We start from the raw sequence: 27500 nt of genomic DNA on the forward strand, positions 1-27500 counted from the left end.
AGCAGGGCCAGGTATAGACAGAGGAGGCAGGAAGGAAGGCGTGGACCCAGGAGGTCTTGTCCTCCCCTGGGGTGACCCCGCTGCTTCCCTTTCAGGCTCCGGAGGATCGATGCCTTCTGCACCTGCCTGTGGGCCCTGCTGCTGGGGCTGCACCTGGCTGAGCAGCACCTGCAGGCCGCCTCGCCTAGCTGGCTAGACACGCTCAAGTTCAGCACCACATCTTTGTGCTGCCTGGTTGGCTTCACGGCGGCTGTGGCCACAAGGAAGGCAACGGGCCCACGGAGGTTCCGGCCCCGAAGGTCAGAGAAGCAGCCATGACTGCGGGGGGAGGACACACGGATGCTCAGGCCCAGGCTTTGCCAGGTCCGAAGCGGGCCCCTCTCTGTCCTGCCTCTTTTCACCTGCTCACGCCCTCCCACCCCCACCCTACAGCCCCAGGTCCTGGCCCAGTCCCTCCACTGCCTCGAAGAGTCAGTCTGCCCTGCCTTTTCCTTTCGGGCACCACCAGCCATCCCCGAGTGCCCTGTAGCCACTCACCACTGCTGCCACCTCTCTGGCCAATGGCCCTTTCACTGGCCTGGTGACTGGAATGTGGGCAGCGCCCACACAGGCTCTGGCCCATGGCTTCCTACTGGCAGCTCCAGGCACCCCCCTCTCACCACGCCGTTTGCTGGCTCTGACACTGTTGGGTGAGGGTCCTGGTCCTGCTGTCTTCCCTTCTGGCCTCTGCACAGGGGTGGTGACAGTGGCTACAGGCTGGGCCCCTGGCGTGCCCTGACCGTGCAGCAGAGTGAGGCTGGGGCAGCAGAGAGCCCCAGCCTCACCCCTGAGGAGCACCTGTGGTCTGTCCCCTTGGTCCTGCTTATGGCTGGACCGGCCCTGCAGGAGGTGGTGGAGCCGTGAAGGAGGCCGAGCTGCAGCTCTGGCTGCTGCTTGGCCTCCTGCTCCAAGACCCTCCCGAGTCCCCGGAAATGGAGAGTGCAGTTCTTGGGCCCAGCCTGGCCTTCGCCATGAGTTTGGGGAGCGAGACCCCACCTGAGACAGGCAGTAGGAGCCTGTGCTGACCTTGGGGAATCTGAGCTTTTCCAAGGGTAAGGGGCCCAGGGTATGCAGGCCTTCAGTGACATCAGGTCGTTGTCATCCTTTCCCTCCCTGACCTGTCACGAGCCTCTGCAGGTGCCTGCTCACCATGGCCCAGCGCCACTCTGTCCTCCGACTCAGGTGAGGGGGCAGCCCACAGACCTGCTCCTCAGTAGCAGGGCCTGGCCAGGCCCCTGCTGTTCTCAGCCTCAGTTTGCCATCTATGAAATGAGGTGGACCCCTCTCCATAGCCCTTGGGTGCCAGCTCAGTGGGTGTGGGGATCACATGAGGTGGCTCATGAGGACACACTCTGGAAGTCGAGGGGCTGCCACGTGCAGAGGAAGTTCCCGGCCTGGGGGCTTTATCCAGGGGTCCCAGTCGAGAGTGGCCCGAGGCCGTCCCTCACCGGGCATGTTCCCTCTGGCTGCCCACTCCCTCAGGGCCCACATGTCCTGCCACTCGCCACTCTGAGCACGAGTTCACCTTCCAGATGTGGCCAGGGTGTGCCAGCTCCTCTCTCCTGTGCGTTGGAACCCCGGGGGAGGCAAGAGCAGATCACAGGTGCATGAGGGTTACACCCGTCACCTGGGTCTGCCGGGATGGGTTGGGGGGGCAGGTGCCAGGCCTCACTGCTGTGAATCTGCCACGCCTGGGGGTCCTAGAGGCTGCCCCACCCCAGTGATTGGGTAGCAGCTCACATCCCACCCAGCTTCACAAGTGAGGAACCCAGGTGCATCGGGAGACCCTCGGGGGCTTCTGTGGCCTCTGTGCCCGATGACCTGCGTGGCTTCAGACAAGGCCCCAGCGTTACTGGGCTCAGCTTGTTGTTCTGTGTGGAGCGTGAGGTGAGAAAACCCCTCTGAAAAGATGTGGTCGGGGCCACGCTTCCCACTGGTTCTGCAGTGAGGAGTTGGGGCGGGTGAGCCAAAGCGGCCCCCCATGGTGTCTACCTGAGGGGCAGGGAACCGCCTGCCTGTGCACTCACGCCACCCCCCAGCCCACAAAGAGCCCATCTGAGAGAAGGACGTGGTGGAGCCAGGACGGGAAAGCGTCCTGTCGGCTGGCCATGCTGTTGCTTGCGTCTCGAATCTTCGGTTCTCGAGGAAGTGTTGACAGTGTGATGCTAATGTCTGCTTTTCTTGGCGTTGGGTAGAAGCAGGACATCTGTGTGTATGTGCGTATTTAAATTAGATTATTTATAATAACCAGAGCCAGCCCTCGCGCTGGCCAGGATCCTCCTGCCGAGCTGATGTCGCTCCTGCCCTCTGCCGGGGTCCGGAAGCGACATCTCAGGAGGTAGCTCTCAGCAGAGTGAGGATTCCTGCCTTTCGTAGAGTTTTGTGTGACTTTTTAAATTATTCATGTGTCCCTTAAAAGTTTCACTACGTGGAGAAAATTCCAGCACCAAGTGTTGTGGCAACAGCTGAGAGAGTGCAGGCACCACTGTGTTGTGGCTTGTTGACCGGGAATGTGTCACCCCTGCCAGGGAACTCTTCTCCTCGCGGGGGACTTGGGATGGCCATCAGACCTTCTAGGGTCTGGCTGGGGTCATCCTAGGTATGGGTGACCGTCCCTGAGACATAAGCGAGGTAGATTCAGCCATCCTCACCCTCAGACTTGAGGTCCCCACCCAGGCCAAGCCGGCCCCCCGTACCCCTTGCCTGGGAGCAAACCGCCAGGACGCAGCCTCCACGCCGCACCTGCCACATTCAGCCCTGCCCAGGAAGGAACACATGACCCTTCTGTCTGTGACTGTTGCTGAGTCTCTGTCTCATGTCGTAGAATTGTGGATAATTGTCTAGTGACCCTCTCATCACTGTAACCATCGCGCCTGGCCTAGATGTCGTGTTTTGGATGCTGTGTTTTCAATAAATGCCTCTGGGGCCCTGCTTTTACCCGCTGGCGTCAGGTGCCGCGTCTTTCTTCTTTTTTCTTTCTTTCAGAAGGGCTCTGTGCCAGGGCTGGGGTGGGCAGCTGTGTTTGGGGTACAGACACGTCCACAGGAGTCAGGTTTGGGAGCCAGTGACAATGACACCAGCTGGCTCGGGGCCCGGCTCGCCTCCTCGCCTTTGCTGGATCATATTTTTTCCGTCTCAATAAACTGTTGCTTAAAACGTGGTCTCTCTCCTTCCACTCCTGATGTGGGCTGGGATTGGGTCGGAGAAGACCAGACATCTCCCCTTGGTGTCAGATGAGCGTATCCGCTCCGGCACTCCCCAGAGCCAGCATCCAGGCCTGATCCTGGTCACTTAGTCCCTCTCTGACACTCCCCAGAGCCAGCATCCAGGCCTGATCCTGGCCTCTTAGTCCCTCTCTGACACTCCCCAGAGCCAGCATCCAGGCCTGATCCTGGTCTCTTAGTCCCTCTCTGAGACGTGGTTTGAGGGCACAGGGCAGTCGGGGGGGGTCTCTCGCCAAAGGAAATGTTAGCACCTTTGGAGTTCTCCAGGGTCCAACAGATTGGGCTCCTTTAGCTGGCGGAGGCTCGCTGGGGCGCCTGTACAGAGCCCAGCCCCTCATGCCCAGCCCTGTGAGCGATTTACGAGGTCTTGCTGGTTGAGTGATGTTCCCACATATCACAGTGAGGGAGTCAAACTGCGAAGGAACTCCCCACAGCACCATCTTCAGTGGCACCAAACTGGGAACAACAGCCCCTGTGCCAGGTGGCCAGGAGATTCAGCCTTTAAGCACTGAGGCAGCCCCGGGTGGTGTGAGCAGGAGCTGGGAGGAGTGGGGATGCACTGGCAAGACCCAGCCACTCCTGCTAGAGCCCACCCTTTGGGGCCAGGAGCTGCGTGGCCCAGCTGACCACCTCATACCCACAGCCCACTAGGACCCTCCTTTCACACATCCCCCAACGGTACTCTCAGGTCACTGGGGGACCTGGTCACCCTTGGCTGACTCTTGGCTATGTCTGTGCTGCCGGGCAGGGTGGGCACAGGAAGCCTAGCGCAGAGCCCTGCCCCACAAACTCCCTCCCATGGAGGGTCATGCCCCAAGGTCCCAGCAACACCTTCACTGCCCCTGCCTAAAGGTGCCCTCAGGGTCATTCCCTGAAGTCGCTGCGCTGTCCCGCCAAATGGAATCAGAATTCTAACATGACGACACAAAACCTCATCTTCTGTGTAGAGGTGGAGCCTTCCCTGGAGTCTTGGGGGCAAGCAGCGGGCGCTGGGCCTGGGAATCACAGGTCAGCAGGCGGAACAAGGATGTGTCCAGTCCGGCTGACCGGGGCCTTCCCCAGGGTCCCCAGCTCAGCTCCTGCCTTGATGCCCACATTCGCCAAACATGGCCTCGCCTTTGGTTCTGAAGTCCAGGTGGTCTCCTGGCACCTTGGAAGGCATTAGAAAGGTTACATGATTCTCCGGGAAGTCAAGAGCTGGCCCCACACTTTCCTTATAAAACTTTTTTAGAGGGAAAGTAGCAGGGAGGTTGGTGGCGCGCGGCTTGGCTAGCGATCCCCGAGCATGCAGTCATGCTGGGCGCAGGTCCCTTAAGCAGCCCCCGGCTCCTGCAGGGCGTGGGCCAGCCTGCCCGCTCACCAGCACGTTGTCCACTGGGCTCATTTGTCCCTTGGCACCGAGGTAAGGCTGGACCCCCGGAGCTCCGTCCAGACGGTGGACTAATGTATTAACTGCCTCTGTCCCTCTCTTCCCTCTGTAATTGGGTGCCTTAATCAGAAGCATGGTTGACGTTCTGGCGTGGGGCCATCAGGTCCTGTTGTGTGATTTGTACCATCTCGAGTTAAAGAGACACTGTCACCTTCCGTCTTTCGGGCAGCCTTGCGGTCGTGGATGGGTCTCTTCTAAGTTCGGTTTTGGCGTTGTCCTGTGAGAGCCTCTTCCAGGGGGTTCCAAGGCCTGGCTGCCCCCCAGTTCTGCTCTACCAGGAACTTCAGAGGAGTTTCCAGAGTGCAAGGCCAGAGAGCAGGAGGCAGCCTTCTAAGGGCAGAGCTGTGGGAGGACTTCCAGGAATCACACCTGGGAACAGAGGGTGCCCAGAGCCGTGCTGGGGCCTGACTTCCTATGATCCAGGCCCATCTGGGAGATGAGCCAGGATGTCCCTGAGCCCGGCCGCTCTGTGGGAAGGCTCGGCACAGAACAAGAAGTGGCAAGGAGTCCAAGTCCATTAACCTTCATTGAGTGCCTGGCACGGGGCTGGGCATTTTTGCTTCAAGGCGAAAGGGTTGGCATGAGGTTGGCAAAGGCGACAGTGTCACTTTAATACCGAGACTCGTAGTGGAGATAGTTTGCTGTGAGCCGAGGGGGTAGGAGGGGGCATGTGGGGAGGGCCGGGTCTTGCTGGCACCTCCCAGCCACCCGCTCCTAATGGCGTGAATGTGGTCGGATTGCTTTTCTGCTTTAACTAACGCACGCCTCCTCTGGGACCCCAGCTGAGGCCCCCACCTTGCACTGTGGGAGAGGGGTGGGACCCACTGCAAGGCTGCCTCCAGGACCTCCCGCTGACCCTCTTCTTGTCCCGTGCCTGACGGGCCCTTGCAGGTTCTTCCCAGGAGACTCTGCCGGCCTTTTCCCCACCAGCCCCAGCTTGGCCATCCCTCACCCGAGTGTCGGAGGCTCTCCAGCGTCTCTGTTCATCCCCAGCCCGCCCAGCTTCCTGCCCCTCGCCAACCAGCAGCTCTTCCGGTCTCCTCGACGGACCTCACCCTCCTCATTGCCTGGCCGCCTCAGCCGGGCCCTCTCTCTGGGAACCATACCCTCTCTGACTCGAGCAGGTAAGGGGTGCCCAGGCATTGGCAGACAGTCAGGGCTAGGGGCAGCTGGGACAGAACTGTGGATGGGTACATAGTGTAGGGAGGGCCGGGAGTGGTTAGTGTTCCTGCTGCAGAGACAGGCAGCACAGAGCTTTGAGCCTCAGTTCCCCCCAAAGAAATGGGGCTAGCTAGGAATAGGTGGCTCATGCCTTTAATCCCAGCACTTTAGGAGGCCAAGGTGGGAGGATGGCTTGAGGCTAGGAGTTCAAGACCAGCCTGGGCAACATAGGGAGACGCTGTCTCTACAAAAAAAGTTGTTTTAATTAACTGGGCATGGTGGCGTACACCTATAGTCCCAGCTATTTAGGCTGAGGTGGGAGGATCGGTTGAACCCAGGAGTTGGAAGCTGCAGTGAGCTATGATCACGCCACTGCATTCCACCATGGGCAACAGAGCAAGACCCTGTCTCAACAAAAATAAAAATAAAGTGCCCAGAATTGCCATATCATCTGGGAGCCCCAGCACGGCCCCTTAGTCCCAGCTCTGGTGACATGACCTTGGGTAAATGTGTGCACCGTGCTGTGCCCTAATCTTTTCCTCTAAAATTGCAACATGCCCCTCAGCAAAGGGGGCCACTCTAGTTATTCTAGGGGAGGAGATGCTGATAACAGCCAAGGCCCCTCTCCTCTCGTGCAGTTACAGGGCAGGCCATTTTGTACACACGCCAAGGTTTATATTAGGATGCTTTTGCTTTTCCCCTAAGCAGAGATACCCCCCTATTTTCAGGGCACCCCAGCCTGGTGGCACTTGAATGGAACTTGGGGTGGGAGGTGCCAGGAGCAGCCCTGCCCTGGGCCTGAGCACTCCGAGTAAACTCTGTGCGCACTGACCAAGGTGGCAGAGCTCAGGGACTTCTGTTTCAAGCCCCTTGGGAGGGGAGCGTGGCAATCCCAGGGCCAGTTCAGGCCTCCAAGGCAGGGGCTCCTGCCCACAGAGAAGAACAGGCAATCTCCCTGTTAAGGCTCAAGGCAGGGACACAGTAGCGACCTGTCTGAGGTAGCAGCAGAGGTCTTGGGGCGCAAGCTTGTCTTGGAGTGTCCGGTGACAGATGGGACCCCAGTCTCCATTACCAGAGTGGGTCGGGGGGAGGAGCCCGGTCTCCATCGCCAGAGGGTGGGTCGGGGGCAGGAGTTCCTGCAGGGCTTTGGCTCATGTATTCAGAGACGCGCTGGACCGGGCTCAGGTGCTGTGGCCAGAATCCAGCTTGCTGTCTCCCTGTCTGTCCTCAGTCCGCTTCTCTGCCACACACCTCATCCCTGTGTCCTGCAGCCCATGCCCAGCAGGAAGACGGCCTCTCCCAGCATCCATAGAATGGATTCTAGAAGGACCCTGGTTGGCATGCTGGGTCCTTGTGACCACCCTTATCCAGCCTATCCCCTGGCCTGGTGAGGGGAGGGTTATCTGCATGCTGCAACAGACCCTTCAGAGCCCACAGGTGGCAACAGGACATGAGGCAGTCCCTGGGTCCCACATTCAGCTCTCAGCCAGCCACTTGGAATTGGGGCCCCTGCCCTTGGGGTGCGTGCGCCTGATTTAGGAAAAGGCAGCGTGGTTGGTGATCCCTGGGATCGAGAGAACAGGCAGTTGGGGTCTGCAATTAGTGGAGAAAGTGGGACTAGATGGCTGGAAAAGCAGGCCCTTCTGTGGGAAGAAGGGCATGGAACGAGGAGTGGACAATATGCCCAGTGCCGACTCTTCTCACCACCTGCTGTGAGCCTCAAGTTTCTTCCTGACCTCGTGATCTGATCTGCCTACCTCAGCCTCCCAAAGTGCTGGGATTACAGGCATGAGCCACTGCGCCCAGCCCAAGCCTCAGTTTCTTTATCTGCAAAAAGGGAACGTGCCCAGCAGCCCTCAGACAGCAGTCCGAGGAATCCGTGAGCACCTGTGTTTCCATGAAAGCACATTTGTAAAGAGCAAAGGCTGGATTGGGATTTCGGCAGAGCATTTGTGGGGGCCTCTGCACGTCATCCACAGGCCTGACGTGTCGCCCGCTTCTCTCTGTCTCCAGACTCCGGCTATCTGTTCAGCGGTAGCCGCCCACCATCTCAGGTGTCTCGATCTGGGGAGTTTCCTGTTTCAGGTGAGGAAGACAGAGAGCTAAGTGGGGGACGGGGCAACATGAAGCCCGGGCGTTCCAGAGCATGGTGGTTTGTGTGAGCTTTGGGGTCAGACAGACCCCAAGTGTGTGTTCACATCTCAGCCCTGGGCAAGTGACCTACACACCTGTGCCTCAGTTTCCTCTTGCGTGAAATGGGAATGACAGTCTCTAGGATCAGATGGTACCATGCTGCTCTGCCGTCCTCAGTGGCAGTCACGGCTGGAACTGGTGCACCAGGTGCCAGCTGGCAGCAAGGCCTCGGGTGAGCTGGCCTTGTACCTCCAGGGTTTGCTGCTATCTGGCCTTGCTCTCAGCTGATGGTACCCAGGGCTTTGGATGGAAATCAAGGGCAGAAGGCCATGGCTGAGGCTCCGGGATCTCTCCTCTCCCTCAGGTGCCTGGTAGAGGGCACCTCTCCTCCTTCAGCTTTGCAGCAGGACTTCCCCCTGTCCCCAGTCTCTGCACCTTTCCTGTCTTCCCGGGTTAATAGAAGAATGCCCCCAGAAATGAAATAGCGCATTGTAGCGTTGCAGTGACAGGAGCCCACGTTCACATCATCTTCCTCCCTCCCTCCAGATTACTTCTCTCTTCTGTCGGGGAGCTGCCCCTCCTCCCCACTCCCTTCCCCAGCGCCTTCCGTGGCCGGCTCGGTGGCCTCCAGCTCCGGCTCTCTGCGCCACCGCAGGCCCCTCATCAGCCCTGCCCGGCTCAACCTGAAGGGACAGAAGCTGCTGCTGTTCCCGTCACCCCCTGGAGAGGCCCCCACCACGCCCAGCAGCTCCGATGAGCACTCGCCTCACAACGGCAGCCTCTTCACCATGGAGCCGCCCCATGTTCCCCGGAAGCCGCCCCTGCAGGACGTGAAGCACGCCCTGGGTACGGCCTTCTGACCACCCCAAGGGGCCGTGGGAGGGCCTCTGCTGCCAAGAGGCCTGGCTGTGCGGCGGTGGGGGGGCTCATCCTTGCTCTGACTCCGGTGTGCGCCTTCCCACCCTGGAGCTCTAGGCACCCCATTCCGGCTCTGGTGACTTGAACCCTCTGGGACATTGACCTCTAATGGCTGATTTCAGTTTCTCCTTTTGCAGTTGACCTTCAGGGTCCTCTGTTTCTTGGAACTGATCGAAAACACATCACGCATTGCCAGGTGCGTGTGGCCACAGATAGTTTCACTCAAATGGTGCTGTACTGCAAAGCATTTAAAATGTTTATAGTTAGCCCCCAGCCTTTAAAACCTACAACTTTCAACTTTCACATGAATTTGTAGATTTCCTTTTTTTTTTTTTTTCGAGATGCAGTCTCACTCTGTCGCCCAGGCTGGAGTGCAGTGGCGTGATCTTGGCTCACTGCAACCTCCTCCTCCAGGGTTCAAGAGATTGTCCTGCTTCAGCCTCCCGAGTAGCTGGGACTACAGGTGCGCGCCACCATGCCTGGCTAATTTTTATATTTTTAGTAGAGACGGGATATCACCATGTTTCCCAGGCTGGTCTTGAACTCCTGATCTCAAGTGACCCACCCATCTTGGCTTCCCAAAGTGCTGGGATCACAGGCGTGGGCCACTGCGCCCGGCCTCGAATGTTTAGATTTCCCACGTCTCTTTCAATGTCAGAGATCTGGTCACCTTGGGCCTGAATACTGGCAGACAAGAGGTGGCAGGACAGTTGAGCAAGGACCTGGCCCCCCACTGTCCAGGGTGGATGAGTGGCTTGGGACAGCCTGGCTCACCACTTCTGACAACTGTCCTTAGAGTGGAAGTACAGCTGCCCCGCGTCTGTCCCTGGAGGGAGCCATGAGCGCCACTGAGAAACACACCCTTCTCTCTGCAGACCTGAGATCCAAGCTGGAAAGAGGCAGTGCCTGCAGCAACCGCTCCATCAAGAAAGAGGACGACTCTTCCCAGTCATCTACCTGTGTGGTGGACACCACCACCAGGGGCTGCTCGGAGGAGGCCGCCACCTGGAGAGGTCTGTACCCTGAGGTGCGGGAGGGGAGGGGGTGGGCACACATCCGAAGCCACCATCTCCCCCAGGGGGGTCCAGAGCACTGACAGAAAGAATCTTCCAGGACATTGCAGTCCCTGAGTGGCCGACAAGTAACCCACCCGGCGCCTCTGAATCCAGGGTCAGGGACTCAGTAGACGGCACTCCCCCTCTCGGGATTTGGGCCCCGATCTGCACTATTCCAGTAGCTTCTGGCCCCAGGCAGCTATTTAAATTAACTGAATTAAAATTAAATAAAGTTTGAAATGTAGTTCTTGAGCTGCACTAGCCACATTTCAAGTGCTCAGTAGGCACCTGTGGCCCGTGGCTGGCATTTAGGACACATACCGAAGGCTGCCATCCTGGCCGGAAGTGCCCAGAGAGCCTGGGTGCACCGGGACCACGTCACGCTGGGGCTGCAGCCTGCACCGGGTGCCGAGCTGCCTGGCTCAGATCCCAGGTTCTCTGCTCACTAACCCTGGGGCTCAGGGGCAAGAGACCAGATCTGTGGTACACATCATCACTCCCTGGGTGGGGAGGAGGGGGTGTGTGTTGAGGGAGATGGACAGATCAGCAAGCAGGGCTTTTCCTGGGCAGGTCATTTTGCACTGACTCTCAAAGCCAGTGCTGCCCCAGGCTGGAGGGTGGCCCAGCAGCTTGGAGGCCTTGGTGAGAACGCAGGCTGCGGCATGCAGCAGGTGGACCTGGGTTGGCTGCTTATTCCCTTGGAGGCCTGGATGGGGTGCTCCTGTTCCCAGCCCCCATGACCTCATCTGTAAAGTGGCCATTGTGGTCACTGCCTCATCACCCAGGCCCCAGCTCATGACAGCCCAGCCCATGGCCTTCCTGGCGGCTCAGGGTTAGGAAAAGCTGTGCCTTCAGGGAGGCAGGGAGTGGGGGTCTTTCCTGCTAGGGAAGCCTTTGGCCAAGAGAAGAATTGGGGGTGAGCCTCACCAGTCTCAGAGAGTACCCTGGGCAGAGCCTTGAGCTCCCCACAAACTGCATGCTCTAGGGGGCTGCTCAGCTGCACAGCGAACCCACCCACCCAAACAATGTTCTGACCAGGTCTCTGCTTTGCAGGTCGTTTCGGCCCTTCCCTGGTCCGGGGCCTCCTGGCCGTGAGCTTGGCCGCCAACGCCCTGTTCACCTCGGTGTTTCTGTACCAGAGCCTGCGCTGACCCACCGTTGGAGCCCCTCGGAGGGGAGCAACCCGGTGCCTGCTGCTTCACCACTGCCGGCCTCAGGACCCTCCCTGGAGGGGCTGCCACCTCTGCCCTCATCTCCAGGGCCTTGACCTCACTGGACTGTGACTGTCCTCAGGACACCTGCCCCTCCTCACCTAACGGACTGCAGGGCTGAGCATGTGTCTGAGGTCACACTCTCTGCCCACTCACCTCCTTGGCTGACATCGGTTGTGTTTGGTGCTGACACTCTGATCCCGAAGCCAGGGAGCCCCAAGGGGCTGCATGACCCTGGGGTGCCCCACACAGTTCAGCCCTGCCTGGCAGGGACGCCAGTACTACTGTAACTGCAGCAGGAGCTGCCCGGCCTGCCTTCTGGCCCCACGCCCACAGGCGTAGTCACATCTTTGTACTGTACTCCCCTGTCTCACCTGGGGCAACCTCAGAGCCCCACTAAGCTGAAGGCCCCCTGGGGGAGGGGGAAGCATGGTCCTTATCATCTGCCCTATCTTGCCCCTTCCTGTGGAGTGGGCAGAAGGGCTCCCGGGATCCTCAGAGCTCCCAGGTCTGAGCAGCCAAAGGCCCAGCTGGGCCTCCAGGACCAGCGCGAGCCCCTGCCCCACCCTCCCCTGCCCCATGTGCCCTGCTTTGTGACCTCTGTTGACCTTCCTGGAAGCAGCCCCATTACCCTGAGAATGCGGAGCGCCCTGGCCCACCTCGCCCTGTGTTTCCAGGCCTGCACGTCTGGTCCTTCAGCTGCACATGGAACTGCAGGGCAGGCTGGCGGGGGGCCTTCAGATCTCAGATGAGACTGCACCCCTTCGACCACCCTACTGGGCACCTGCCTCCAGCCCCTGAGAACTCCATCTTCCCCTAGTTCTGCCCAGGAGCCCCTGAGAACCCCATCTTCCCCTGGTTCTCTTGCCCACTCCCCTGCTGGGGCTCCTTCCTGGCACTGAGGAGGGGCGCTCCCAATGCTGTGAGGCAGCGGGGAGGGACCGTGCACCCGTGGCTATCAGAGCCCCTCCGCTGTCCCACCCTGGGCCTGGGACACGGGCCTGGGGCAGTGTGTGTCTGCTGGTCATGTGCTGGTGCCAGTTGGGGAGGAATCAGCTGTCTCGGTGGATTCTGAGACTCACTGTGGGGCGGGAAGAAGGGTCTTCACTCTGCCATTCAGGGATAAAGTTTAATTTTATTTTTCTACACATTTTGCCAGGTCAGGCATTTTGCTAGTAAGCAGGATGCCCCCAACTCTCCCTGCCATGGAGGATTCTTTTTTTTAAGCTTTGGGTGCTTTTTTAATACTTTTTTTTTTAATGTGGGGAAGGAGCTTGCTCTGACGTCACCCTCCTCTCCCCTGACTCCTGTCCTGAGAGCTGTGGATGCCGCCTCCTGCCCTGCCTACCCCTGAAACGTGGGGAATGGGGGCCCCAGGACAGCATCAGGACTTTTGAGTCCAGCTGCCAGCAATGGTTCCAACTCGGAGGCAGCGCCTCTTGGTCCCCATTTCTGTATAGCAGGCGTGTGTGTGTGTGTCGAGGTTTTTTATTTTTTGCTTAATCAAACTCCATTCCCAAATGCACTCCATCTCTGGCTCTGAGGGCGCTCCCTCCTCTCAGCCGGGCAGCCTGGCCTCTCCTGCCCAGACCTGCGGTCCCAGCATCCCCCAGAGCCAGGGAACAGGCCCAGCGGGAGGGGGTTTTATGTTTTGTTTCAAACAGAAAACACAACCTTATTTTTCTTTACAAAAGCAAAAAAGGAAACCAAAAAAGATACAGCCTTTGAATGATGCCTGCTGGCTGTCTGTATTCGTTTGCTTGGGCAGCTCGGGCCTTCCAGGTAGGGCAGGGTCCCTGCTAAGGGGGCTCTCATCCACTTTCTCTTTCCTCTTCAACGGGGGGTTCTGGAGTGGGGGGCTCGGGTTGGGGTGGCCACAGTGTGACCAGACAGTGTCCCTGGAGGGGCTTAGGGATTTGGACAGGAGACTCGCTGCCTGGCTGAGCCTGGGCCGGAAGGACACCCCAGAGTTTGCTGCGCAGAGAAGGGTGTCCAGGCAGGAAATGCTCAGCTCAGCTCTTCAGAAAAGCCTGAGCCCACCAGCCATCCCTGACCGTCCTTGCCCCTGGCTGCAGGGACCACGGTCAGGTTGTGAAAAAGACCTCGTCTTCCTCAGAGAGGGCTTAGAGCTGCTGCACGGCTCCATGCTGAGGCGGCGGGGATGGGGAATGGCCAGGGTGTCACAGCACAAGCTCTGGGGTCACCTTTCTGGTGACTGGGATCTGCATTTCTGTTGGCTTCAGTTTGACACGGGAGTAACAGGACGGCCATCCGGGGCTGATATGGGGACCCTTAAGCCACAGCACAACGCAGAGGGAGCTCTACCAAGGTGGGCTGTCATTCTGGCCCAGTGCCCAGCGGGCAGGAGGACCACAGCCAGTGAGCAGGGGGACCGGCTCCCAGGGGCCGGCAGGACCAACCTGAACCAGACCCTGAGGGCAGATGAGGGTGCAGGGCTGGGACGGCTTCCCATCAGGAGCTTCCTGCAGCGGGAGCCACAAACGCCTCTGAGCTCACTGACCTCGGGTCCTCAAGATGTTGGGAACATCATGTTTAAACCTGAGGCTCAGGCTTCCAGCAGCCCATTCAGCTCCTACCCCGGCCTGGCGAGGAGAGGCCAAGTGAGGGCAGCAGAGAGCCAAGCGCCCTCAGCTGTGAGGTTCTCCCCAACTTGGGAGCAACAGTAGTAACGCCATCTATGGTTTTCTTATCAAAAGGTAACACATTTATGTAGAAAACCTAGAAATAGAAGTGAGCAAAAAAGAAAATGCCTCATAATCCTGGCATTAAGATATTGGCATCTCTTCTTTGTGGTGGTTTTGTTTGAGACAGGGTCTCGCTGTCCCCCAGGCTGGAGTGCAGTGATGCAATCATAGCTCACTGCAGCCTCAACCTCAGGGGCTCAAACATTCCTCCTGCCTCAGCCCTCCCAGTAGCTGGGAATACAGGTGCACACCACCACACGCAGCTAATTTTTGTTGTATTTTTTGTAGAGAAGAGGTTTCACCATGTTGCCCAGGCTGGTTTCGAACTCCTGAGCTCAAGCAATCCACCCACCTCAGCCTCCCAAAGTCCTGGGATTATAGGTATGAGCCACTGTGCCTGGCCAGAATCTTCAGTAGAATAATTCACCTCTGAAGGATTATCCCAAGGGCCCACTGCAGTAGCTCATGCCTGTAATCCCAGCACTTTGAGAGGCCAAGGCAGGAGGATTTCTTGAGCCCAGGAGTTCAACAGCAGCCTGGGTAATACAGTGTAAACTCGTCTCTGCAAAAACAAGAAAATTAGCTGGGGCCGGGCACAGTGGCTCACACCTGTAATCCCAGCACTTTGGGAGGCCGAGGCGGGTGGATCATGAGGTCAGGAGATCGAGACCATCCTGGCTAACAGGGTGAAACCGCGTCTCTACTAAAAATACAAAAAATTAGCTGGGCGTGGTGGCGGGCGCCTGTAGTCCCAGCTACTCGGGAGGCTGAGGCAGGAGAATGGCGTGAACCTGGGAGGCGGAGCTTGCAGTGAGCCGAGATGGCGCCACTGCACTCCAGCCTGGGCGACAGAGCGAGACTCCGTCTCAAAAAAAAAAAAAAAAAGCTGGGTGTGGTGGCACATGCCTGTCCTCCCAGCTACTCGGGAAGCTGAGGTGGGAGGATTGCTTGAGTCCCTGGGAGGTCATGGCTGCAGTGAGCTGTGATTGCACCACTGCCCAGCCTGAGTGACAAGAGCAAGACCCTCTCTCTAAAAAATAAGATGCTAAAGCTTTTTGTGTGTTGCATTACAGAAAGGTACAGAAAAATTAGTTTCGTACTTGAGCTGAGTTTTGCTGTAGAAACCTGCCCCTGGTTCCCAGGCATCTTCCACCATGCAGTTGAAAGCTCATCAGAAGATCAGGAAGGAATTTGGAGAGGTGAAGAGAGGCAGGCAGGGTGCCCGGCACCACCCCTCTCTAGCAGAGAAGCTCAGTTTTCTTAGGCAGGGTTTCAACTGAGAAGAATTTACAGGTTACAGTAAAGAAATCATCTTGGGCCGGGTGCGGTGGCTCACGCCTGTAATCCCAGCACTTTGGGAGGCCGAGGTGGGTGGATCACCAGAGGTCGGGAATTTGAGACCAGCCTGACCAACATGGAGAAACCCCATCTCTACTAAAAAAAATAATAATAATAATACAAAATTAGCCAGGCGTGCTGGAGCATGCCTGTAGTCCCAGCTACTTGGGAGGCTGAGGCAGGAGAATCTCTTGAACCCGGGAGGCGGAGGTTGCAGTGAGCCAAGATCGCACCATTGCACTCCAGCCTGGGCTACAAGAGCGAAACTCCGCCTCTAAATAAATAAATAAATAAATAAATAAATAAGCCTTATTGGTTTTGGTAGATTTTAGCCAGCTTCTTTACTGCAAACTGTTTTATCAGTAAGGTCTTTATGACCTGTGTCTTGTGCTAACCCACTTTTTTCTGTTTTATATCAGAAAAGTCTACCGATTTTTCTTTTTTTAAGTTCAAAAACTACTATAGCATACCACCCACCATACCAACCTACTAGCCGTGTGACGCTGGACCCCTCTGTGCAACAGGAAAGGGCCTAGGTGACCCCCTGTTTCTTCTGAGGGACGATCAGAGGCAGGAACTCTCCCCCCACCCCCACCATAGGTGTCTTCTGTGGGGTCCAGAGTGGCTCTACCACTGCAAAATGCTTTCTGTGATTTCAACTGAGGATATCTTGCTACAAAGGCAGAGGGAAGTGGGGAAAGCTGTTTTCAGTCCTTAAAGGGCTGAAGTGCAGCCCCCTGAGCTTGGTGCCAACTTGGGGTTCTCCACACACCCTTTCACCAGCCAAGTGTGCGTGTCCAGCCCTGTTCACCGGGTGGGACTGAGCTGGACCACAGTGAAGGAGGGGAGGACTCCGGGATTTCCACAGCAGGTTCTTTCCTTAGTTCATCCATCCTCAGCCACTGTGCAGCCATCAATACGGTGCCCCTAGGGTGGGCCAGACTGTGCTGGGTCCACGAGATACAATGAATGATGAGCAACACTGAGCTGTCCCTGTCCCAAAGAGCTTACCTCGAGTAGGGGGTCAGACTTGGGCAGGCACACAGATACTTATGTAATTATCCACTTAAAAGTGCAGCAGAGGCCCAGGGAAATGCCAGCAGGGGCATCGCATAGGTTGTGAATTTAGTTTTTGAGTTTTTTTGTTTTTTTTTTTTCCTGGAGATAGGGTCTCGCTCTGTCACCCAGGCTGGAGTGCAGTGACACGAACTTGACTCACTGCAGCCTCCATCCCCTGGGTCCAAGGGATTCTCAGGCCTCAGCCTTCCGAGTAGCTGGGACTACAGGCGCACGCACCACGCCCGGCTAAATTAAAAAAACTGGGGGCTGGGCACAGTGGCTCATGCCTGTAATCCTAGCACTTTGGGAGGCTGAGGCGGGCAGATCACCTGAGGTCAGGAGTTCGAGACCAGCCTGGCCAACATGGTGAAACCCTGTCTCTACTAGAAATACAAAAATTAGCCAGGCAAGATGGTGCACACCTGTAATTGCAGCTACTCGGGAGGCTGAGTCAGAATTGCTTGAACCCAGGAGGCAGAGGTCGCAGTCAGCTGAGATCGCACCACTTCACTCCAGCCTGGGCAACAGAGCAAGATTCCATCTCAAAAAAAAAAAAAAAGAAAAATTTTGTATTTTTGTAGTACAGACGGTGTTTCACCATGTAGCCCAGGCTGTCAACTGAGTTTTGAGCATTTGCACTGGACGCTTCAGAGACGCCCACTGGAGTCCTCTGCCCTGTGTTCCCTGCCTGGAGCTTGCACAACCACGCAGCACGCACCTCTCATCCTTCAGTTCTCATCCTAAACGGCCACCCACCGCCTGCGAGAGGCCTTTTCCCACTGTGCTCTCAATATCCGCAAATCACTTCCACTAAATCTGCGCTGTGATTGCCTCATGACCGCTGGACTGCATGCCTCCCCCATTAGAATGTCATTTCCACTAGAACAGGGCCCTTGGGTCGTAGTTGGGGCTCATTAAACATTGAATGAATGGTTGAATGAAATGTCCCTTAGCTACATGTAGGCATCTCCCAGTCTCAGCTCTGAGGGGAGGTGGCAGGAGGCACACACATCTGGAGCTCCTGAAGCCAGGGTGAGAACAGTGAGCTGCAGCTGAGGCTCAGAGCTCCTGGCTTCGGGGCACCCGTTCTGGAGCTGGAGGGAAGGGAAGTGTGTTGGAGGTGAGCCGGTGGCTCAGCTGGGCCAGAGCTGAGAACAGATCACGAGGGAGGCTTGGGAAGGGCTGTCCTGCACGCTCCATCTCCAGAGAGTTCCAAAATTCACTTGGGGCTGGGTATGGTGGCTCACGCCTGTAATCCCAGGCATGGGAGGCTGAGGCAGGAAGATCTCTGGAAACCAGGAATTTGAGACCAGGCTGGGCAACATAGTGAGACCCCATCTCTACAAAAAACTTTTAAAAAATTAGCCAGGCAGGCCGGGCACAGCGGCTCACGCCTGTAATCCCAACACTTTGGGAGGCTGAGGCAGGCAGATCACCTGAGGTCGGGAGTTCGAGACCATTCTGGTCAACATGTTGAAACCCCATCTCTACTAAAAATACAAAAATTAGGTGGATGTGGTGGTGCGTGCCTGTAGTCCCAGCAACTCAGGAGGCTGAGGCAGGAGAATTGCTTGAACCTGGGAGGCGGAGGCTGCAGTGAGCCGAGATCGCCCCACTGCACTCCAGCCTAGTGACAAAGCGAGACTCTGTCTCAAAAAAAAAAAAAAAAAAGAGTGACCTCTGGTCGTCCTCACTGCTGCACTCCCACCAGCGCCATGACAGTTTACAGATGCCATGGCAATGTCAGGAAATTACCCTCTATGGTCTAAAAAGGGGAGGCAGGAATAATCCACCCCTTGTTTAGCATATCATCAAGAAATAGCCATAAAAATAAACAGAGCAGCCCATGGGCTGCTGTGTCTATGGACTAGCCATTCTTTCACCACTTTACTTAATAAATTTGCTTTTGCTTTGCACTGTGGACTTGCCCTGAATTCTTTCTTGTGTGAGATCCAAGAACCCACTCTTGGGGTCTGGATCAGGACTTCTTTCCGGTAACACAAGAGTGCAGGGACCGTGACCCCCTCTACCTGGAACATCAAACAGGAGTGCAGATGTAGTGGTGCCAAATGAATTTTTTTTTTTTTTTTTTGAGACGGAGTCTTGCACTGGTTGCCTGGGCTGGAGTGCAGTGGCACGATCTGGGCTCACTGCAATGTCCGCCTCCCGGGTTCAATCGATTCTTCTGCCTCAGCCTCCTGAGTAGCTGGGATTACAGGCACCTGCCACCACAACCGGCGATTTTTTGTATTTTTAGTGGAGATGGGGTTTCACTATGTTAGTCAGGCTGGTCTCGAACTCCTGACCTCGTGATCTGCCTGCCTCGGCCTCCCAAAATGCTGGGATTACAGGCGTGAGCCACCACACCTGGCATGAATTTTCCTTCACTGAAATTTTTTTTAGAGACAGTCTTGCTCTGTCTCCCAGGCTGGAGTGCAGTGGCGCTATCTCGGCTCACTGCAACCTCCGCCTCCCGGGTTCAAGCAATTCTCCTGCCTCAGCCTCCCCAGTAGCTGGGATTACAGGCATGCGCCACCATGCCCGGCTAATTTTTGTATTTTTAGTAGAGAGGGGGTTTCACCATGTTGGCCAGGCTGGTCTCAAACTCCTCACCTCAGGCAATACACCCGCCTTGGCCTCCCAAAGTGCTGGGATTACAGGCATGAGCCACCACCGTGCCCGGTCAGATCTCTTTCACTGTCAATTTTCTCACTATTATGATTTTTGCAAAGGCAGCTTCGTTCAGCCTGGGAACCTTCCAGCATCCTGCCTCAGCTCACTAGAGGGTCAGAGCTTATGTCACCCCAGACCTCTTGTCACCTCTGGCCATTCTTGTCACCATCTTGGTTTTGGTGGGTTTTAGCCAGCTTCTTTATTGCAACCTGTTTTCTCAGCAAGGTCTTTATGACATGTGTCTTGTGCTGACCTCCTGTCTCATCCTGTGACTTAGAATGCCATAACCATCTGGGAATGCAGCCAAGTAGGTCTCAGCTTCTTCACCCAGCTCCTATTCAAGATGGAGTTGCTCTGGTTCAAATACCTCTGACACTTGGGCTAACAGTGTGGATGGGAGGGGAAGACAGGATTAAAGGAACAGTCACAAATAATGAATTACAGTTATCAGAAGAGACAGCAGAGGGCTGAGTGTGGTGGCTCCATGCCTTGTAATCCCAGTACCTTGTCAGGCCGAGGTGGGCGAATCACCGGAGGTCAGGAGTTTGAGACCAGCCTGGCCTACATGGTGAAACCCCGTCTCTACTAAAAATACAAAAATTAGCCGGGCATGGTGGTGCACACCTGTAATCCCAGCTGCTCCAGAGGCTGAGTCAGGAGAATGACTTGAACCTGGGAGGTGGAGGTTGCAGTGAGCCAAGATTGTGCCATTGCACTCCAGCCTGGGTGACAGAGCGCGACTCTGTTTCAAAAAAAAAGAGAGATCTGAGCTAAGCAACTCCCTCTTGCCTTTAACCTCCAAACTGCCCTTGATCATTCTGGGGGCATGGGCCAAGCTAATTTTGGGAGGAATTTAGTTTATGGTTTAACCTTAAAGCGAGGATGAAAATAACCCTTCCCAAAACTAAACCGGATTGGTAAGACTAATGAAAGGCTACAAGGTCAGGATTGTGAGAGGGGCCTGAATTATGTAAAATGTAGGTGTAGTTATAAATGATTACCAGCCATTGTTCCGGGGCTCATAAGATTTGCAATTTCTCCAGTTGCTCCTGTAAGTAACATCACTATTGTATAATTTAAGATTGGCCTTTTGTGATATCTTTTCAGACTTTGTATTTCTGAAGACCAGGTGCTCCACCCAGCCAGAGACTCAGGACTCAGCTGGTCCTGTGGCCCCTACCCAGAAGTGGAATCAGTAGAGAGGACCAGTTTCCATACCCCTATGATTGCATCCCCAACCAGTCAGCCACACCCACCCTCTAGCCACCTGCCCACCAAACTATCTTTAAAAACCCTAGTCTCTGAATTTTCCAGGAGGGTAAATTGAGTAACAGCAAAACTGTGGTCTCCTGTTTAACCAACTTTGTGTGAATTAAACTCTTTCCTTTGCAATTTCCACCCCCCGCGTTTTGTTTTTTGTTTGTTTGGTTTTTGTTTGTTTGTTTGTTTTTGAGACGGAGTCTTGCTCCGTTACCCAGGCTGGAGTAGAGTGACACAATCTCAGCTCACTGCAACCTCCATCTCCTGGGTTCAAGCGATTCTCCTGCTTCAGCCTCCCGAGTAGCTGGGATTACAGGCGCCCGCCACCATGCCCAGCTAATTTTCCGTGTCTTGATAAATCGGCTCTATCTGGGCTGTTACATGAGGGCCACTGGGGATGTCCCAGGTGGCAGCTCCTCACCAGTCTCATGCTGGAAGACACTGGGGAAACTGGATCCATTGATCACTTTGCTTCCTTGGAACTGTTATGGGGAAGGTGCCTGTGCCACCCACACTCCATACTTAGTCTGTGAGGTTTAAGACTCGGGTAGGGGTCAGGGTATAGATCCTCCCCCACCCCCTCAGTCTGGCGGTGCAGGGATAGGAATGGACATTTTCATCTTCATACCATAATTTTTTTTTTTTTTTTTTTTTTGAGACGGAGTCTCGCTCTGTCACCCAGCCTGGAGTGCAGTGGCACGATCTTGGCCCACTGCAACTTCCGCCTCCCGGGTTCACACCATTCTCCTGCCTCAGCCTCCCGAGTAGCTGGGACTACAGGTGGCTGCCACCATGCCCGGCTAATTTTTTGTATTTTTAGTAGAGATGGGGTTTCACCATGTTAGCCAGGATGGTCTCGATCTCCTGACCTCGTGATCTACCCACCTGGGCCTTCCAAAGTGCTAGGATTATAGGTGTGAGCCACCGCGCCCAGCCTATATCATAATTTTTTTTAAGCAATGATGGGGTTGCGCCTCCACCCCTTCCAGCAAAATGAAAAGAATAAATAAGAGCCTGTCCGGACAGCGTGTTAACTTCCAGTCCCTTCTAGATTGGACTCTGGATGCATGTTCATCTTCTCTGATAGATAAACATTCCCAGGCCGGGCGCGGTGGCTCAAGCCTGTAATCCCAGCACTTTGGGAGGCCGAGGCGGGCGGATCACGAGGTCAGGAGATCGAGACCATCCCGGCTAAAACGGTGAAACCCCGTCTCTACTAAAAATACAAAAAATTAGCTGGGCGTAGTGGCGGGCGCCTGTAGTCCCAGCTACTTGGGAGGCTGAGGCAGGAGAATGGCTTGAACCCGGGAGGCAGAGCTTGCAGTGAGCCGAGATCCCGCCACTGCACTCCAGCCTGGGCAACAGAGCGAGACTCCGTCTCAAAAAAAAAAAAAAAAAAAAAAAAACAAACATTCCCAGAGAGGGTTTTTATGATGATTAGCTTCCTTCTGGACAATCTACCTTTAATCAGATAAGAGAAATTCAGGAAAAGCCCCTTTGTGCATTTGCTGGTTTCCAAATCCCTTCAGTTTGAAGTCATCATCATAGCAATGCGGCATATTTTGGGATGTTATTTCCTGGATTCCTTCAGCAGCCACCTGCTGTTGGGTATTTAGGCTTAATTAAAGTTGGCAAGGCATGCTCAGCTAGAGGCTCAGCTGCATGGGAGATGAGTTATAGGAAGTCCTATGTACGTAAGGGAAGCTCAGAACACTTTTATTGCACATTTTAAATAAATGCCTCTGGGCCGGGTGCAGCGGCTCAGGCCTGTAATCCCAGCACTTTGGGAGGCCAGGGCGGGTGGATCACCTGAGGTCAGGAGCTCAAGACCAGCCTGGCCAACATGGTAAAACCCTGTCTCTACTAAAAATACAAAAATTAGCTGGGTGTGGTGGTGCATGCCTGTAATACCAGCTACTAGGGAGGCTGAGGTATGAGAATCACCTGAACCCAGGAGGCGGAGGTTGCAGTGAGCCTAGATCACACCACTGCATTCCAGCCTTAAAGAGCAAGACTCTGTCAGAAAGGAAGGAAGAAAGAAAGAGAGAGACAGAGAAAAAGAAAGAGAGGAAAGAAGGAAAGAAAAAGACAAAGAAAAGAGGAAGGAAGGAAGGAAGGAAAAGAAAGAAAGAGAGAGAAAGATGGTCTGGAGTTAGAAGGTTCAGTTGAATTGTTTGGGGTGACAAGGCAGGAGAAACTGACTCTACCAGGCTATGGACCCAGGTTCCCTGTCCTCTGCCTTCCCACCTATCACAGTGGGCGAACTGTCCATGCTGCCATCCCAGCCCATACCCCACACCTCCTACCCACCACACCTGATCCCAGTCTGCTCAAGGACCCGGTTACGGCAGCTGCCCACCCCTCCCTCCTCTCCCTCTTCTTCCTCCTCACCGCTTTTCCTTTTTCCTGGGTTACTCCCAGGATTACTCGCAAACAGGCCGCCATTTTTCCCTCCCATCTGGAGACACCTTTTTTTTTTTTTTTTTTTGAGAAGGAGTCTCGCTCTGTCGCCCAGGCTGGGGTGCAATGGCGCCATCTGGGCTCACTGCAAGCTCCGCCTCCCAGGTTCACGACATTCTCCTGCCTCAGCCTCCTGAGTAGGAGTAGGTGCCTGGGACTACAGGCACCCGCCACCATGCCCCGCTAATTTTTTTTTTTTTTTTTTTTTTTGTATTTTTAGTAGAGACGAGGTTTCACCTTGTTAGCCAGGATGGTCTCAATCTCCTGACCTCGTGATCCACCCGCCTCGGCCTCCCAAAGTGCTGGGATTACAGGCGTGAGCCACCGCGCCAGGCTGGAGATACCTTTCTTTAGGGTATATGTCTTCATTGTATTTTGTTTTTTTTGTTTGTTTGTTGGGTTTTGTTTTGTTTTTTTTTGAGAGTTTGAGATTTTTCTCTTTTTATTTATTTTAGAGACAGGGTCTTACTCTGTTGCCCAGGCTGAAGTGCAATGGCACAATCAGCTCACTGCCTCAAACTCCTGGGCTCAAGCAATCCTCCTGCCTCAGCCTCCTAAGTAGCTAGGACCACAGGTGTGCACCACCACACCCAGATAGTTTTTAAAATCTTTTGTAGAGACAGGGTCTTGCTATGTTGCCCAGACTGGTCTCAAACTCTTGGCCTCAAGCGATCCTCCCACCTAAGCCTTCCAAAGCGCAGGGATTACAGGCCTGAGCCAGTGTGCCAGGCCACAAACTTTTTTTTCTTTTTTTTTTTTTTTTTTTTTTTTGAGATGGAGTTTCGCTCTGTCACCCAGGCTGGAGTGTGGTGGTATGATCTTGGCTCACTGAAACCTCCGCCTTCTGGGTTCAAGCGATTCTCCTGCCTCAGCCTCCCAAGAAGCTGGGATTACAGGCATGCGCCCCCACACCCGGCTAATTTTTGCATTTTTAGTAGAGACAGGGTTTCACCATGTTGGCCAGGCTGGTCTCAAACTCCTGATCTCGGGCAGTCTGCCCACCTTTGCCTCCCAAAGTGCTGGGATGACAGGCATGAGCCACCACGCCCGGCAGATTTTTCAAGATATAATATCAAGTTGAGGGACAGCTCTCCCTCTTTGCCTTTCATTTCTTTCCTTCCCTTCCTTGGAAATTCAGTCCAAAAGGCACTGGGGGAGTTACAAGCCATGGAGCGGCCCCCCTGGGTGGCCAGGTGTGCCCATCAGACCTCCAGCCAGGTGAGGGTGGAAGTCACCCAGGAGGGCGACCTGCTGGGAGGTATCAGAGCCTGGCAGGGGTGGAGAGGAGGGAGTCCTCTCAGGGAGTCAGAGTGGAGTGAGAAAGGCAATTGGTGGGGTGTGGGAGCCCGAGTGGGGTGAGGCGGCACCTGGGACATGGCACTGGTGACCAAGGGCCCTACCCCACTTTACTCTTCTCCCTAGCACTTACCACTGTGCAAGATGTTAGGAATGTACTTGTTTGTTTCTGTATCATCAGCCGCGCCCACCCACCCACTAGAAGATCCTCCAGGGCAGGGACTTGGTCACTGCTGTATCCTCAGGGCATACTGGTGGCATTTGATAAAGTGCAGAATGAATGGGTGTAACTTGTAGCCCCTATCCCTTGACCATCTCAGACAGCAAGACTTGGCAACACCTGCATGAGGCTGCGGGCAAGAGAGAGAAGTGAACCCTGTTGGGGATTTCTGCTTTGACCACAGAGGAGAGAGGGGATAAGCTTTCGCTGAAGCAGAAAGGAAGAGTGAGCCAGGGGCAGATCCGGGTGGCCAGGGAGTCGGGTTGGGGCAGATTCCGTTTGCAGGGGCCTGCAAGTGCCTGGGTGGGGACGCCCCCAAGGCTGCTGGAGAGGGGGTCCGGGGCACAGGGTCGCAGAGCTGGGCAGGGAGGAAGGGAGGGTGAGCTCCAGGCTGAGCTGCCAGTACCAAGGCTGCGGCAAGCAGCTCTAGAACAATCTGCCACTTGCAATGCAGGAATTAAGAAAGGAGGCCAGGCGCGGTGGCTCACGCCTGTAATCTCAGCACTTTGGGAGGACGAGGCGTGGGCGGATCACCTGAGGTCAGGAGTTCAAGACCAGCCTGGCCAACATGGTGAAACCCCGTCTCTGCTAAAAATACAATTAGCTGGGTGTGGTGGCGCACGCCTGTAATCCCAGCTACTCAGGAGGCTGAGGCAGGAGGATCTCTTGAACCCAGGAGGTGGACGTTGCAGTGAGCCGAGATCGCAGCATTGCACTCCAGCCTGGGCGACGGAGAGAGACTCCGTCTCAAAAAAAAAAAAAAAAAGAAATGGGAGGTTTGGAGGGACACAAAACACAGTTTCAACAAAATGAGCTTTGCTGACTCAGTACCTGCCCCAGGACCCCAGCAGCGCCAGGGTTTACGCTCATTTCTCCATCCCTGGAGGAAGCGGGCAGGAGAGAAAGTGAATTCCGCTTTCCCAGTCCCGAGAGTGCGGCGGAAACCACGCGGCGCCGCCGGGCGGGCAGCAGGGGGAGCCGCTGAGCCAGGGGCTGAGGGTTGCAGGCGGCTGTGGCCTTGGCCAGGCATCACCACCAGGTGGCGCCGCGCGCTTCCCTGGCGCCCAACCCGGAGGCCGCGAGGTCGGGGAGCGGATGCCCGGGGGAGACGCCGGCTGGGCGACCTAAGGCTCCGGGCACCCGGGCTCCGTGGCGGCCTCTTTGCCTCCTGCAGGGGTGGCGGCAGCACAGAGGTGTGCACCTCCACAGCTGGCTTCACACCCGCGGAGATGGAAACCCGTGCACGAGGCTGAGAGCACGAGCATCCAACAGGCTGGGGTTTGAATCCCTGCGCAGCTGCCTGCACGAAGGCGTGGGCCTCGCCTCTCTCCACCTCAGACTTCGCGCCCGTCAGTGGGAGCATGACGCTGATCTCACAGGGCGGCTGTAAGGATTAAATTAGGTGACAGTGGTGATGATGATGATGATAACATGTGTACTGAGTTCTCATCCAGGTCTGGCATGGTTCTGGGCACTTTACAGATATTAACTTATGATTCTAGTTCCCTGTGATGTTGGGGTGGCTGAGGACCAGGGGCTGAGTCTCCTGCACAAAGGGAAGGGCGGCCAGGCCTCCCTTATCGCGGCCACCTTCCCTGCTGGCCCCGGGTGCTGTTGGTGCTGAGGGATGACTGCTGCCCAAAGGCAGTAGAGAGAGGAGGGGCCTTCGATGCTAAAGGCCAGGGGGCCTCTTGTTTCTAGTTCCGCAGCCCCGCAGCCCACGGCTACAGGGAACAGAGGCCGCGGGTGGCAGAGCCCCACTGTTGATCTGAGAACAATGGAGGAACCATGGAGGCAGATGGCACCTCCCGCAGGAGCCAGGGGGTTGAGGCTGCAGTGAGCTGAGATCGCGTCACTGCGATCCAGCCTGGGCGACAGAGCGAGACGCCTGTAGTCCCAGCACTTTGGGAGGCTGAGGCCAGTGGATCACCTGAGGTCACCAGTTTGAGACCAGCCTGGCCAACATGGTGAAACCCTGTCTCTACGAAAATACAAAAATTAGCTGGGCGTGGTGGCGCATTCCTGTAACCCCAGCTACTCGGGAGGTTGAGGCAGGAAAATCGCTTGAATCTGGGAGGCGGAGGTTGCAGTGAGCCAAGATTGTGCCACTGCGCTCCAGCCTGGGTGACAGAGTGAGACTCCATCTCAAAAAGAAAGAAAGAAAAATACTCTTAGCGCAGAAACATCCAGTCTCACAAAGCCCAAAGATGCCATTCTAGAATATACTAGAAGGATAGCTCAAACACTCACATTTTATGGGGGTTCACTCTGTGTCAGGCACGATTATAAGCATTTTTACATATATGAATTATTTATTTCCAACAGCAATTCTAAAAGTTGAGCACCGGCCTCCGCTGTGGTCTAAGCAACGCCAGAGCCTTCTGGGAAAGGCGCCCCTGCCGTGGAGGGAGGATGGGCCAGTGGTGGGTGAGTGGAGGCCACAGCTCAGCTCTGAGGTTTCAGCCTCAGTGACCGGGCAGACTGCCTTCTTTGCCTTCCTCACACGGAGGTGGCCCAGAGTTGGTGGCCCTGGTGAGATTGGTTGGAGGTGTGTTGAGTTTGAGGGCTCTGTGGAATGTTGGGGGGATTTCCAGAGGCAGCTGGAGGGGAAGAGCTGGTGGCCAGGGTGGAGGAGTGGGTGGTGAAGGAGGAGTGGGTGGTGAAGGACAGACGAGCTGCGGTCAAGACTAGGGAGACACTGGGCAGTAAGGGTGATCCCGAGGACTCAGATCCCCCAGGACCCTCGGAAGGAAAAGGTTGGGCGGTGGGAACTCCATGGGAAGGTCCCCAGAAGCCCCCGTTTGCCGTCTGTGGTCTGCCCTGGGGCAGGCAGGGCGAGGGGGCTTCATGACCCAAGTGAGGGGCGGGCCTGGGTGGGGAGTATTTTCAGCGGGTTCTCTCCCCACTGTCACCCCAGTGAGGCCACCTGAGGTCACCTCTTCCCCTGGGGGTCTCGGGCCACTGACGCCTCTAAGGACTGGGGCTGCTGTGAGTTGCGGCCCCGGGAGGAAAGGGTGAGTCTGAACTCACTTGAAGCTCTGAGTCCTGGGGCTTCAAGGCCACACCTACCTGAGTTTGTGTTGGGGGTTGGTGCCCTCCCTCTGCGGTTGTCACTGGGGTGCCTTCCCCCCAGGCTCCTTCTCCTCTTCTCCGAGAAAGAGGCCGGGGCACCTGTCCTCCCAGCTCACACATTCCAGGAACCCCCAGGGGAGGACGGTCCTCAGCAGCTGACCCTCTCCCCTTTCTTACCACCAGCCGAGAATGAGGATGTGCTGAGAAGCCAGAAACAGCACTCCCTGCCCCCCCACCCCCGCCCCCA

The 27500-nt window shown here is 55.9% G+C and overlaps 3 protein-coding genes and 1 long non-coding RNA gene across 12 annotated transcripts in view, besides 6 other annotated features; 3 read left to right on the forward strand and 1 right to left on the reverse strand.

Annotated features, from left to right (window-relative positions):
* Nucleotides 1–12904, forward strand: part of TMEM201 (transmembrane protein 201) — a 25967-nt gene extending 13063 nt beyond the window's left edge. For 3 of the 9 annotated variants that reach the window (XM_017000549.2, XM_017000552.3, XM_017000551.3), the window contains exons 6-13: nt 96–299; nt 5584–5816; nt 7867–7938; nt 8533–8832; nt 9042–9100; nt 9246–9367; nt 9780–9917; nt 11013–12904. In XM_017000549.2, coding sequence (XP_016856038.1) covers nt 96–299; nt 5584–5816; nt 7867–7938; nt 8533–8832; nt 9042–9100; nt 9246–9367; nt 9780–9917; nt 11013–11226 — 1342 coding nt within the window. In that variant the 3' untranslated portion in view covers nt 11227–12904. Of the gene's footprint in view, nt 1–95; nt 2977–5583; nt 5817–7866; nt 7939–8532; nt 8833–9041; nt 9101–9245; nt 9368–9779; nt 9918–11012 lie in introns of those variants that run through there. The other 6 variants (XM_017000550.2, NM_001130924.3, XM_047448441.1 and 3 more) reach the window with 6 other exon arrangements.
* Nucleotides 9747–9982: a silencer, noted in NCBI's record as "fragment chr1:9671778-9672013 (GRCh37/hg19 assembly coordinates)". NCBI's record gives its function as "represses an EF-1alpha promoter that drives an FKBP-Casp9 reporter gene in an ReSE screen in HepG2 liver carcinoma cells {active_cell/tissue: HepG2}" and the evidence as "EXISTENCE:reporter gene assay evidence [ECO:0000049][PMID:32094911]".
* On the forward strand, nt 12691–20343 carry LOC124903837 (uncharacterized). The gene is made up of 2 exons (XM_047436734.1): nt 12691–13499; nt 20053–20343. Exons 1-2 carry the CDS (start codon nt 12691–12693, stop codon nt 20270–20272), a joined length of 1029 nt encoding a protein of 342 aa, XP_047292690.1. The 3' UTR covers nt 20273–20343.
* Nucleotides 13452–13996: an enhancer, noted in NCBI's record as "H3K4me1 hESC enhancer chr1:9675483-9676027 (GRCh37/hg19 assembly coordinates)". NCBI's record gives its function as "activates a minimal SCP1, AML or CMV promoter by ChIP-STARR-seq in naive H9 embryonic stem cells {active_cell/tissue: H9 hESC(naive)}" and the evidence as "EXISTENCE:reporter gene assay evidence [ECO:0000049][PMID:30033119]".
* Nucleotides 14006–14065: an enhancer, noted in NCBI's record as "active region_130". NCBI's record gives its function as "activates an Ori minimal core promoter by ATAC-STARR-seq in GM12878 lymphoblastoid cells {active_cell/tissue: GM12878}" and the evidence as "EXISTENCE:reporter gene assay evidence [ECO:0000049][PMID:35858748]".
* Nucleotides 24198–24337: an enhancer, noted in NCBI's record as "active region_131". NCBI's record gives its function as "activates an Ori minimal core promoter by ATAC-STARR-seq in GM12878 lymphoblastoid cells {active_cell/tissue: GM12878}" and the evidence as "EXISTENCE:reporter gene assay evidence [ECO:0000049][PMID:35858748]".
* Nucleotides 25078–25417: a silencer, noted in NCBI's record as "silent region_226". NCBI's record gives its function as "represses an Ori minimal core promoter by ATAC-STARR-seq in GM12878 lymphoblastoid cells {active_cell/tissue: GM12878}" and the evidence as "EXISTENCE:reporter gene assay evidence [ECO:0000049][PMID:35858748]".
* PIK3CD (phosphatidylinositol-4,5-bisphosphate 3-kinase catalytic subunit delta) overlaps nt 25285–27500 on the forward strand; it is a 101857-nt gene continuing 99641 nt past the window's right edge. Inside the window, exons 1-2 of the mRNA XM_047422557.1 lie at nt 25285–25567; nt 26507–26729. The gene's annotated coding sequence lies outside the window, so the exon portion shown is untranslated. The remainder of the gene's footprint in view (nt 25568–26506; nt 26730–27500) is intronic.
* Nucleotides 25525–25989: an enhancer, noted in NCBI's record as "nonconserved acetylation island sequence 67". NCBI's record gives its function as "activates a minimal heat-shock promoter by reporter assays in Jurkat T cells {active_cell/tissue: Jurkat}" and the evidence as "EXISTENCE:reporter gene assay evidence [ECO:0000049][PMID:17135569]".
* LOC105376712 (uncharacterized) lies at nt 26474–27454 on the reverse strand. Its single transcript, XR_946951.2, has 2 exons — nt 27251–27454; nt 26474–26710 (listed from the first exon to the last, which is right to left on the reverse strand). It is a non-coding gene; the product is annotated as an uncharacterized LOC105376712 (long non-coding RNA).

The sequence above is a fragment of the Homo sapiens genome, chromosome 1 (genome assembly GCF_000001405.40).
Source record: "Homo sapiens chromosome 1, GRCh38.p14 Primary Assembly".
NCBI lineage: Eukaryota > Metazoa > Chordata > Mammalia > Primates > Hominidae > Homo > Homo sapiens.

Coding starts and splice junctions, on each gene's coding strand:
- LOC124903837 (XM_047436734.1), top strand. CDS start 12,691: ATGCACTCCATCTCTGGCTCTGAGGGCGCTCCCTCCTCTCAGCCGGGC. Junction 13,500..20,052: donor GCAGAGGGAGCTCTACCAAG/GTGGGCTGTCAT, acceptor ATATCTTTTCAG/ACTTTGTATTTCTGAAGACC.